Source organism: Homo sapiens, chromosome X, assembly GCF_000001405.40.
Source record: "Homo sapiens chromosome X, GRCh38.p14 Primary Assembly".
NCBI classification, from domain to species: Eukaryota; Metazoa; Chordata; class Mammalia; order Primates; family Hominidae; genus Homo; species Homo sapiens.
In genome coordinates this window covers 119734027-119747560 of record NC_000023.11, presented here as the reverse complement: position 1 = coordinate 119747560, position 13534 = coordinate 119734027, and positions in this window count along the sequence as shown.

Here is a 13534-nt window from a genome sequence, read left to right as displayed (position 1 = left end):
CTCACAAAGATACACAGCTCCAAATGGAAGAAAAATTTAATTGGCTGGGCTTAGTACATCATAATTCTTGTTTTTCAATTCCACCCACCAATTATGCAAAGGTTTCTGATGAAATTCAGTTGGTAAACGGTCATTTTTGCTGATGGCAATCATTTGTTCTTGCAAAACGGTAAGTACTTGTTGCACCTTTGTGTTTTTAACAAATGTGCCGAAAACCCACAAAAAACTCTACATTTGAAATATGTTTAAAAAGCAGGTTAGGAATTTTTATTCTGAAGTTTTAAAATGTGCAGATATGATAGGTTTTCTAGGTATGCTACTTACATCATTTTTGGCCACAAAATTACATAACAATGAAAACACAAACATCCATTTTCCAAATGTTCTCTGCCTGTTCTGCATTTCCTTCCAAAGCAGTTACTTTCTCACTCATTGTTAAAATATCAACTTTATCTTGAAGAACTGGATGGGCTGTGTTTATTATGATTTTTTTTTAAAAGTCTCCTGGCTGGGCGCGGTGGCTCACACCTGTAATCCCAGCACTTTGGGATGCCGAGACTGGCGGATCACCTGAGACCAGGAGTTTGAGACTAGGCTGGCCAACATGGCAAAACTCTGTCTCTACTAAAAATACAAAAAAATTAGCTGGGCATGGTGGCAGGTGCCTGTAATCCCAGCTACTCAGGAGGCTGAGGCAGGAGAATCGCTTGAACCTGGGAGGCGGAAGTTTCAATGAGCCGAGATTGCACCATTGCACTCCAGCCTGGACAACAAGAGCAAAACCTCACGGCAAAAAAAAAAAAAAAAAGTCTTCTGACTACTCTAAGACACCCCTGAAAATGTCAGTAAATTTGAAATGCGTATCTTTATGTGGAAAAAAAAGTGCATCTTTTAGTTTGAAAACTCTTTTAAGGACTTACATAATAGAATTCTTTAAAGATTTTACTGGTATATTGGCTGGGCACGGTGGCTCACACCTGTAATCCCAGCACTTTGGGAGGCCAAGGAGGGAGGATCACCTGAGGTCAGGAGTTTGAGACCAGCCTGGCCAACATGGTGAAACCCCCATCTCTACTAAAAATACAAAAAAAAAAAAAAAAAAAAAGCCGGGCCTGGTGACACGCACCTGTGGTCCCAGCTACTTGGGAGACTGAGGCAGGAGAATTGCATGAGCCTGGGAGGTGGAGGTTGCAGTGAGCTGAGATCACACCACTGAACTCTAGCCTGGGCGAAAGAGTGAGACTGTCTAAAAAAAAAAAAAAATTACTGTATATCAAGTCTTATTTTGCCAGGCACGGTGGCTCATGCCTGTAACCGCAGCACTTTGGGAGGCCGATGAGGGTAGATCATTTGAGGTCGGGAGTTTGAGACCAGCCTGGCCAACAAGGAGTAACCCTGTCTCAACTAAAAATACAAAAATTAGCTGGGCTTGGTGGCACGTGCCTGTAATTTCAGCTATTTGGTAGGCTGAGGCAGGAGAATCACTTGAACCCAGAGGCAGAGGTTGCAGTGACCCGACATTGTGCTACTGTACTCCAGCCTTGGCAACAGAGTGAGACCCTGTTTCCAAAAAAAAAAAAGTCTTATTTTTATACCGTTAACCAGATTAATGAATCCTATAGCACTTTGTACATTTCAGGCTTCAATATCTTTGCTGTGATAGCTCGCCAACTTTCTCAGTAAAGTTACCTTGAAATCCACCCCCACTTTTGGAAAGTTTCCTGTCAGAGTAGCACTTCATCAGTGTAAAAATCTTTATTTCCAGTTTTCCTATAAGATGTTACAAAAGTAAACAAGTCACTTTGTGTTCATAATATATCTTCTCCTTTACATTTCTCCTTTGGTAGACCACACACAAAAAAGTAGTTTTTTGGCTGGGCATGGTGACTCACACCTGTAATCCGAACACTCTGGGAGGCTGGGGTGGGAGTATCACTTGTGGCCAGGAGTTTGAGATAAGCCTGGGCAACAAAACGAGACCCTGTCACTACAAAAAATTAAAAAATAAAAATAGCCTGGAGTGGTGGCATGCGCCTGTGGTCCCAGCTACTCAGAAGGCTCAAGTGGGAGGATCGCCTGAGCCCAGGAGTTAAAGGCTGCAGTGAGCTACAATGCTGCCACTATACTCCAGCCTGGGTGACAGAGGGAGACTCTTATCTCAAAATAAATAAATAAATTCTTTGTGGATTTTATTATTGAAACAGTATCTAGCAAATACAAAGCTGAAAATGCTGAAAAAGTTTTGTCCAACTGTACAGAAAACTTCCTACACTGTATCATTTACTCATAGTTTGTTCAAATCTTCGGCAATGTTAGCTAGATGCCTTCCAATGGTATTTACTGACAAATAAATGTGTTAGAGTTTATTACCACTTTGTTTCAAATGAACTATTTTGACCATGTTTACTAAGATAGTAAAAACAACTGCTTCCTCAAGGGGATCTATGAACTTTTGTTTTTTGTTATTAAGTAACAAACTTCGAATGAAGCTTCTAAACATGTGTCTTTCCGTTCAGTGAGATCTAATAAAGTACTGTTTTGAAAATCACATGACTTTTGGCATTGCTGAAAAAATAGCAGAGACGTGTCTTTATGTTCTGTATATCCAGGGTTTGTTAATGTAAAGTTTTAAAATATGGTGACGTGCATAAAAAAATGCACAAATAAGTGTATAGCTTGACACGGTTTTCTGTTTTGCTTTGTTTTGAGACAGAGTTTTTGCTCTTGTCATCCAGGCTGGAGTGCAATGGTGCAGTCTCGGCTTACTGCAACCTCTGCCTCCTGGGTTCAAGCGATTCTCCTGCCTCAGCCTTCCGAGTAGCTGGGATCACAGGCACCCGCTACCACGCCCAGCTAATTTTTGTATTTTTAGTAGAGACGAGGTTTTACCATGTTGGCCAGGCTGGTCATTACAAATTGAACACACTTGTGTAACTAGCACCCAGATCAAGACATAGAATATCACAGCACCCAGAAGCCTCTTTTGTGGCCCCTCTCTGCCACTACCCTTCTAGTTCCTACTGCTGTGTAAAAAATCATCCTAAAACTTTTTTTTTTTTTGAGACAGAATCTTGCTCTGTTGCCCAGGATGGAGTGCAGTGGCAAAATCTCGGCTCACTGCAACCTCCACTTCCCGGGGTCAAGTGATCCTCCCCACCTCAGCCCTGCAAGTAACTGGGACTACAGGTGCATGCCACCACACTCAGCTAATTTTTGTATTTTTAGTAGAGACGAGATTTCACCATGTTGCAAAAGCTGGTGTCGAACTCTTGACTTCAGGTGATGCACATGCCTCAGCCTCCCAAAGTGCTGGGATTATAGGATTATAGCCATGAGCCACTGCGCCCGGCCTCATCCCAAAACTTAGTGGTGAAAAATAACTATTTTCTTATGCTCATGAATTCTGGAGGTCAAGAATTTAGACAGGGCACAAGGGGATGACTAGCATCCGCTCCATGATGTCTGGCACATTGACTGGGAAGATGTGAGAGCTGGGGGTGACTTGACACTGGTTGGGGTGGGATCCTCTGGAGATGTATTTCCTCACATGTCTGTCATTTGCTGCTGGCTGCTGGCTGGGACCTCAGCTGAGGGCTGCTGGCCAGGACACTTGAGGCAGCCACTGCCCGCGGTTTATGACATAGCTTTGGAAGTTAGGCAGCATCTCCTCTACCATACTCTGTCGGCTGCTCAGATTCGAGGGAATGGCATATAGATTCCTCCTCTCAAAAGGAGGAGTGTCAAATAATTTGTGGATATGCTTCCAAACTGCCACGAAAAGCAGCCATCATCTGGACGTCTCCCACTGTAGTTTCGTGATGCATCCACCTTGTAGAGGCTTAGATTTTAAAGCTCTCATTAATCCTAATGGCTTCGTACTATTATTAGCTAATCTCTCAAGGCAAATTATCCACTTAAAGTGCATTTATTATTAACAATAGTGAATGGGGCCAGGCGTGGTGGCTCACACCTATAATCCCAGCACTTTGGGAGGCCGAGGCGGGCGGATCACAAGGTCAGGAGAATGAGACCATCCTGGCTAACAAGGTGAAACCCCGTCTCTACTAAAAATACAAAACAAACAAACAAACAAAAAAGCCAGGCGTGGTGGCGGGCGCCTGTAGTCTCAGCTACTCGGGAGGCTGAGGCAGGAGAATCCGGGAGGCAGAGCCTGCAGTGAGCCAAGATCGGGCCACTGCACTCCAGCCTGGGCGACAGAGCGAGACTCTGTCTCAAAAAAAAAAACAAAAAACAAACAAATAAACAAAATAGTGAATAGGAATCATACTTTAAGTAGGCCTTTGTGGTATTTGCTTTATTTATTTATTTATTTTTTTGGTTAGGGGGTGCTGATTTCTTTTTTCTTTTTTTGAGACAGGGTCTTTCTCTGTCACCCAGGCTGGAGTGCAGTGACACATCATGGCTCACTGCAGCCTCAACCTCCTGGGCTCAAGCAATCCTCAAATCTCAGCCTCCCGAGTAGCTGGGTCTATAGGCTTGAGCTACCAGGCCCGGCTAATTTTTAAATTGTTTTGTAGAGACAAGGGTCTCACTATGTCACCCAGGGTTGTCTTAAACTCCTGGGTTCAAGGGATCCTCCTGCCTTGGCCTCCCAAAGTGCTAGGATTACAGGCATGAGCCACTGCACCCGGCCTGATTCCTGATTTCTTTTTCTTTTTTTCTTTCTTTTTCTTTTTTTTTTTTTGAGACGGAGTCTCGCTCTGTCGCCCAGGCTGGAGTGCAGTGGCACGATCTTGGCTCACTGCAAGGTCCACCTCCTGGGTTCACGCCATTCTCCTGCCTCAGCCTCCGGAGTAGCTGGGACTACAGGTGCCCGCCACCACACCCAGCTAAATTTTTGTATTTTTAGTAGAGACGGGGTTTCACCGTGTTAGCCAGGATGGTCTCGATCTCCTGACCTCGTGATCCGCCTGCCTCGGCCTCCCAAAGTGCTGGGATTACAAGCATGAGCCACCGCGCCTGGCCTTTTTCTTTTTTATTTTTTTTGAGACAGGGCTTCCCTCTGTCACCCAGGCTGTAATGCACTGGCACTATCTTGGCTCACTGCAACCTCCACTTCCCAGGTTCAAGCAATTATCATGCCTCAGTCTCCTGAGTAACTGGGATTACAGGCGTGTGCCGCTACGCCCAGCTAATTTTTGTATTTTTAGTAAAGAGGAGGTTTCCCCATGTTGGCCAAGATGGTCTCCATCTCTTGACCTCGTGATCTGCCCGCCTCGGCCTCCCAAAGTGCTGAGATTACAGGCGTGAGCCACTGTGCCCGGCCTGATAACAGCTTTCTATGTGCCAGCTACTGCTCCAAGTTTATATGTATTATATGTATTAATTCATTAGCTCATTTGTATTTATATGTACTATTAATTCCTTTTATTAGTCCATTTTCACCCTGCTGATAAAGACATACTTGAGACTGAGAAGAAAAAGATGTTTAGGCCAGGAGTGGTAGCTCACACCTGTAATCCCAGCACTTTGGGAGGCCGAGGTGGAAGGATTACCTGAGATCAGGAGTTTGAGACCACCCTGGCCAACATGGCAAAACCCCATCTCTACTAAAAATACAAAAATTAGTAGGGCATGGTGGTACATGCCTGTGATCTCAGCTACTTGGGAGGCTGAGGCAGGAGAATTGCTTGAACCTGGGAGGTGGAGGTTGTAGTGAGCCAGGATCACGCCACTGCACTCCAGCCTGGGTGACAGAATGAGACTCCATCTAAAAAAAAAAAAAAAAAAGAAAGAAAAAGAAAAAAGAGGTTTAATGGACCTACAGTTCCACATGGCTGGGGAGGCCTCACAATCATGGTGGAAGGTGAAAGGCATGTCTCACATGGCAGCAGACAGGAGAAGAGAGCTTGTGCAGGGAAACTCACATTTTTAAAACCATCAGATCTCACGAGACTTATTCACTATCATGAGAACAGCACGGGAAACACCTGCCCCTATGATTCAATTACCTCCCACCAGGTTCTTCCCACGACACGTGGGAATTGTGGGAGGTACAATTCAAGATGAGATTTGGGTGGGGACACAGCCAAATCATATCACTCCTCAAAATAGCCTTATGGGTAGGTTCCCTTATTACCTCTATTTTACAGATGAGAAAATTAAGGCTCAAAGAATTTGAGAGGTTAAGTGACTTGCTCAAGATTGCACAACTAGTATCTGGTAGAGTTGGGATTCAACCCCAGGCAGTGTGGCTCAAGAGTCACATGTTGAGTCAATAGCTCATACACTGAAATATTTGTCTTGTGATTGGGGCCTTCAATGCCTTAACCCAAAGGAGTGGTTCTAATGGTAGGGATCTCAGACATGAGGGAGCCTGATAGTAGTGAGGATTCTTATCTTGGAGACTTTTCCTGGTAGCACACTCAACTCTGCCATCTGAGCCTTACGTTTCATGGTGGCCCCTCTTGTGTGAAATAAACAAGGGAAAATAGTCTTTTTTTTTTTTTGAGATAGAGTCTCACTCTGTTGCCCAGGCTGGAGTGCAGTGACGTGATCTCAGCTCACCACAACCTCCGCCTCCCAGGTTCAAGCGATTCTCCTGCCTCAGCCTCCCTAGTAGCTGGGACTACAGGTATGCACCACCATGCCAGGCTAATTTTTATACTTTTTAGTAGAGACGGGGTTACACTATGTTGGCCAGGCTGGTCTTGAACTCCTGACCTCATGATCTGCCCACCTTGACCTCTCAAAGTGCTGAGATTACAGGTGTGAGCCACTACACCAGGCCTTTTTTGTTTGTTTGTTTGTTTGTTTGTTTGTTTGTTTTGAGACGGTGGTTCACTCTGCTGCCCAGGCTGGAGTGCAGTGGTGCGATCTCGGCTTGCTGCAACCTCCACCTCCTGGGTTCAAGTGATTCTCCTGCCTCAGCCTCCCAAGTAGCTGTGACTACAGGCACCTGCCACCACGCCCGGCTAATTTTTTGTTTTTTTTAATTGTTTTTCTAATAGAGATGGGATTTCACCATGTTGACCAGGCTGGTCTCAAACTCATGACCTCAGGTGATCCGCCTGCCTCGGCCTCCCAAAGTGCTGGGATTACAGGCGTGAGCCACTGCACCCGGCCAGGAAAATAGCCTTCTAACTGGGCTTGTGGCATCTCTCTAAATTACCTGAAGCCTCCAGGTTGGTGCTATTTGTCAATTGTCAGCCTCCATATTTGAGTGACTCTTATATGGGCTGGGTTCATGTGAACATTGTTCACACTTAAAATGGGCAGAGTCTGGAGAGATTTCAATATGAAACATTGTCAGTTGCTTTTTTTTTTTTTTTTTTTTTGAGGCAGAGTCTTGCTCTGTCGCCCAGGCTGGAGTGGAGTGGTGCTATCTCGGCTCACTGCAAGCTCTGCCTCCCGGGTTCACACCATTCTCCTGCCACAGCCTCCCGAGTAGCTGGGACTACAGGCGCCCGCCACCACGCCAGGCTAATTTTTTGTATTTTTAGTAGAGACAGGGTTTCACCATGTTAGCCAGGATGGTCTCGATCTCCTGACCTCGTGATCCGCCTGCCTCGGCCTCCCAAAGTGCTGGGATTACAGGCGTGAGCCACCGTGCCTGGCCGTCGGTTGTATTTTTGTATTGTACTTTGTTGTCATCTGGAAATCAAGAAAAAGGGCCTGTGCCTTTTCTGGCACTGAGTCTTTCATTGTCACCTGTGCATTCTGTGGCCAAACCCTGTTTCTGTTTCCACTTATCAAGGCAGGTGTGGGCAGTCTCTCACAATTAGTTTGCTAACAGTGTGGTCCCTTTGATGTGCTGGGGGTTTTGTGCAGGTTGGTAGAGGGTACAAGGGGGATCTCAAGCTGAGCACGGGCTCTCAAGAGAAGACACTATCCAGGCCAGGTGCAGTGGCTCATGCCTGTAATCCCAGCACTTTGGGAGGCCGAGGCAGGTGGATCACCTGAGGTCAGGATTTCGAGACCAGCCTGACCAATATGATGAAACCCCATCTCTACCAAAAATACAAAAATTAGCCGGGCATGGTGGCATGCGCCTGTAATCCCGGCTACTCGGGAGGCTGAGACAGGAGAATCGCTTGAACCTGGGAGGCAGAGGTTGCAGTGAGCCAAGATCGTGCCTTGCACTCCAACCTGGGAAACAAGATTGAAACTCCATCTCAAAAAAAAAAAAAAGAAGACACTATCCATGGGTCAGTTCATTCAGTGGGTGGCCAATGGTGCCCACAAACAGCAGGGAGAGAGAGCATTGCAGCTGGTCCTGGTGCCATTGTTAACGGATTTGCACACCATCTCTGCATGAGAGCCCTGCCTGGCCTCGCCAGGACAGTTGAGCTGCCTACTGGGTATACTAAGACCCTGAAACCTGCCGCTCAGCAGTGCCTATCACAAGGTGGTTCCCATTTTTTTGGAAGTTTGGCATCTCCCTTAAGGTGCAGGGAAGAATCTACCCCTGGCCACTGTTTCACTTGGCCAGCTGGCATCATGAGGAGTTCTGTTCCTATGGCCCCTGACAGCCAGTTTGGCAAGAGCGGTCTGGGAAGAATAGTCACTTGATTTGTTTCCTGTCTGCCAGACGCTCAGAGCTGCTGGAAATCCATGCGGATGCAATAACTCAACTTGGTTTCATTCATCGAGATCCAGAGGGAGGATGCACTCCTTCCAAAGACAGATAGGGCCCACATGCCTGATCTAGCAAGCTGGGTAGGTTTCACACTTCTCCACACATTTCAAAGTATAATTAAGTGTCCGGGCTGCCTCATGCATCTCCTTCTGTGCTCATATAACACTTGTTTCTCAGGGCTCCTGGGGACTGAAGATTTTGCAAAGGAACAAGAGACCAAACTTACATGCAAATTATTCATATTTATGAGTGAAAAATAAGTAAGTCGACAGATTGATGAGACTTTATTACCAATACAGGAATTTGATTCCTACCAACACAGGCTGCAGGAATGGCAGTACAGTGTCCAGAGCAAAGGGGAGAGGGCACAAGAGGTCTGCTCTGCACAGGACCGGCCAGACTCCACCTGGAATATTGTGCTCAGTTTCTGGAGCCCATCCAGCTTTTGGAGTGATGGGACTCCTGATAAGAAATGGTTGAAAGCCCTGGGAATGTTTAGCTGAGGAGGAGAAGACTCATGAGGAACATGAGAGCTGCCTTTAAAAAACTGAAGAGCTGGCCCATGGGGGAGAGGGAGGGGACTCAAGGAAGAGAGGAGGTGTAGAAAGAGTGTGGGCTTTGGACTCAGGAACCCTCAGCTGAATTCACAGTTCTGCACCTTACTAGGCCTGCTCCCTTTGGTAAGTCATCTCGTCTCCCTGAGCCTCAATTTCTTCATTGGTGCAATGGGGAGGACAATACCTTCCTCACTGTGTGTTGTGAGGTCAGTGGTGGTGGGGGGTGGTCTGTAAAAGAGTGCTTGAGGCCGGGCGCGGTGGCTCACGCCTGTAATCCCAGCACTTTGGGAGGCTGAGGCAGGCAGATCACAAGGTCGGGAGATCGAGACCACGGTGAAACCCCGTCTCTACTAAAAATACAAAAAAAAATTAGCCGGGCGCGATGGTGGGCGCCTGTAGTCCCAGCTACTTGGGAGGCTGAGGCCAGAGAATGGCGTGAACCCGGGAGGCAGAGCTTGCAGTGAGCTGAGATCACGCCACTCCACTCCAGCCTGGGGCGACAGAGAGAGACTCCGTCTCAAAAAAAAAAGAAAAAAAAAAAGGAGAGTGCTTGAAATCTTCAAAGCACCTGACAGTTGATATTACTGTGCGTCTCTGTGGTCCCACAGCACAGAGCCTGGTCCCCTGGGTGAAATTGACAAAGAAGCAGATTTTGGCGCAGTTCCATTAAGAGCTATCTAACCATGATAGGAATCTTAAAATGTAAATGGCTGCTTTGGGAAATAGTAAGTTCCTCATCACTGGAGATACTTAAGCAGAGACTGGATCAGTATTTTCTTGGAGGCTGCATGGAGGAATTCCTGCATACAAAAGAGGGTTGGAGTACATCACTTCTAGGGGCTTTTCCAACTTTTAGGTTAGAAGATTCTTTTTTTTTTTTTTTTTTTTTTTGAGACGGAGTGTCGATCTTGTTGCTCAGGCTGGAGTGTAATGGTGCGATCTCGGCTCACCGCAACCTCCACCTCCCGGATTCAAGCGATTCTCCTCCCTCAGCCTCCCAAGTAGCCTAGTAGCTGGGATTACAGGCGCGTGCCACCACGCCCGGCTAATTTTTGTATTTTAGTAGAGACAGGGTTTCTCCATGTTGGTCAGGCTTGTCTTGAACTCCCAACCTCAGGTAATTTGCCCGCCTCGGCCTCCCAAAGTGCTGGGATTACAAGCATGAGCCACTGCGCCCTGCCATTTTTTTTTTTTTAAGATGGAGTATCACTCTGTCACCCAGGCTGGAGTGCAGTGGAGTGGCACAATCTTGGCTCACTACAGCCTCCACCAACCAGGTTCAAGGGATTCTCCCGCCTCAGCCTCCCGAGTAGCTGAGATTACAGGCACCCGCGACCACACCCAGTGAATTTTTATATTTTTAGTAGAGATGGGGTTTCACCATGTTGCCCAGGCTGGTCTTGAACTCCTGGCCTCAAGTGATCTGCCTGCCTCAGCCTCCCAAAGTGCTGGGATTACAGACGTGAGCCACTGCACCTGGCCCATTTCTTTCTTTTTTTTATTTTTTATTTTCTTGAGACAGAGTCTTGCTCTGTCACTCAGGCTGGAGTGCGGTGGTGCGATCTCAGCCCACTGCAAACTCCACCTCCTGGGGTCCGGCTAAGTTATGTATTTTTAGTAGAGATGGGGTTTCGCCATGTTGTCCAGGCTGCTCTTGAACTCCTGATCTCAAATGATCCGCCTGCCTCAGCCTCCCAAAGTGCTGGGATTACACTCGTGAGGCACCGCACCTGGCCTTCACTATTATTTATTTATTTGACACAGAGTCTTGCTCTGTCGCCAGGCTGGAATGCAATGGTGCAATATTGGCTCACTGCAACCTCTGCCTCCCGGGTTCAAGCGATTCCCCTGCCTCACTGAGCCTCCTGAGTGGCTGGGACTGCAGGACTGCGCCACCATGCTTGGCTAATTTTTTTTTTTTTTTTTTTTGTAAGTTAGTAGGGATGGGGTTTCACCATGTTGGCCAGGATGGTCTGGATCTCCTGACCTCGTGATCCGCCCATCTTAGCTGGGATTACAGGCGTGAGCCACCATGCCCGGCTGCCTTCACTATTACTAATATCATATTTTATTTCATGTAATGGTTATAATAGCCCTGCCAGGGAGAGTGAACAAAACAGGCTTTAAAGTTAGACAGACCTGGTTTGAATCTCAGCCTGAAGACTTAACTACGTGACTTATATAAGGCACTTTACTTCTTTGTACCTGAGCTTCCCCATCTATAAAGTGGAGGTCATGATAATGACACCTGCCCCCTCATCTGCCCCTGCCCAGCAGCTGCTCCTGGGATTCTAGTGTTTCTAGAGAAACTGTGGCTGCTGTCTCTCCCAGCGCTGTCGTCTTCTCTGGGCCAGAAGCACACACAGCCTGAGCTTGTTGGACCTCACGCCCCTGCTGTGCCCTCTGTGGGGCTCTCAGCTCCAAGTGGGTTCTGTCTAATAATTACATAATAAGGTGTAATCACATAATAATTACACTTTAGCTATCCTACGAATTAAGGCAGCTCTTCCAAAGACAGCACATCACACAATGCCCAGCATGTGCCAAGCTTCAGTTAATGAGAGCTGGGTTTGGTTTGTTTTGTTTTGTGATCTGACTGGGCTGTGACCTCCTTGGCTGGCTCTGGGTTCATCTGTCCCTCTCCCAGATGAGCAGTCTGCAGCCCTCCCCTTCAGCAAATGGGGCCGCGTAGCCTCCGCACTCCTCTTGGTTGCTGCCCAATGGGCTGTGACAGATGTCCTGCCAGGCAGCTGCTGGCCCTGCTCATCCTGTGGCCCTCTTTCTAGCATCTGGGCTCCTCAGCTCCTTGGGGGATGGGACTTCGGGGCTCCTGGTCTTGACTTTGGTGGCTAAACATAGAGTGCCAAGTCTATTTGTTCCCAAGTAGTTGAGATGGCACAAGCCTGGCCACCTTGCCCTGGACGCCCAGCTCCCGGTTGAGGAGAAGCCCCCTGCAGGAGTCACTATTATGCCTCCCTGGCCATTTCCAGGCCTGAAAGTGACATTTCTCTGCTCAGTTCACTGTCACTAAAGATGGGTTCATGTGCTGTTTTCTCCAGAGCCTGGTCTGCCCTCTCATCCATGCCTGTCACTCAGCCCAGCTTGTCACTTCCCTCCTTCAACAGAACCTCAAACTGCTACCATGATGCAGCCTGGGCACTCTTCCATCTGTCTGCCTTGCCTGCCCCTGCCCGGCAGCCGCTCCTAGGATTCCAGTGCTTCTCGGGAAGCTGTGGCTGCTGTCTCTCCCAGTGCCGTTGTATTCTCTGGGGCAGAAGCACACACAGCCTGAGTTTGTTGGACCTCATGCCCCTGCTGTGCCCTCTGTGGGGCTCTCGGCTCCAAGTGGGTTCACTCTATGAGCCTGGCCGGCTGCCAGCTGGCTGGCTTTGCAGCCGACTCTGGTGAGGAAGTCCTGCCAAGGGCTGGCCTGGATCACTGTTGCTAGAGGAGCAGCCACCTCCCCACCACCACCCCACATAGAAACATTGGGTTCCACATTTGTAAGCGGACATGCCCAAGAATTTGCTACCCCCACTCGTTGTGCGTCAAAAGCTGGCTAAAGGCTGGGTGAGGTGGCTCACACCTGTGATCCCAGCACTTTTGGAGGCCAAGGCAAGCAGATCACTTGAGGCCAAAAGTTCCAGCCTGGCCAACATAGTGAAACCCCGTCTCTACTAAAAATACAACAATTAGCTGGGCGTGATGCTGTGTGTCTGTAATCCCAGCTACTAGGGAGGCTGAGGAACGAGAATTGCTTGAACCCGGGAGGTGGAGGTTGCAGTGAGCTGAGGTTATGCCACTGCACTCCTGCCTGGGCTAGAGTGAGACTTCGTCTAAAAAAAAAAAAAAAAAAAAAAGCTGGCTAAAATGGGCAGCCACGAAGAGGGGTAAAGATCTTATTGTGATCGGAGTTCTAGGTCTGCTGGTCACTGGCTGTGTGACCTTGAGTGATTACTTAACCTCTCTGAACCTCCATTTTGTCATCTGAAAAATGGACATGAAAGGAATTACTTTATTACCTCATAGGCCTTTTGGAAGGATCAAATGAGAACTTGGATGTGAACACTTTTTTTTTTTGAAACGGAGTCTCGCTCTGTCACCCAGGCTAGAGTGCAGTGGCGCTATCTTGGCTCACTGCAAGCTCTGCCTCCCGGGTTCACGCCATTCTCCTGCTTCAGCCTTAACGAGTAGCTGGGACTACAGGCGCCCGCTACCACGCCCGGCTAATTGTTTTGTACTTTCAGTAGAGACGGGGTTTCACCGTGTTAGCCAGGATGGTCTGGATCTCCTGACCTCGTGATCCGCCTGTCTAGGCCTCCCAAAGTGCTGGGATTACCACTGCGCCCGGCCTTTTTTTTTTTTTTTTAAGACGTGG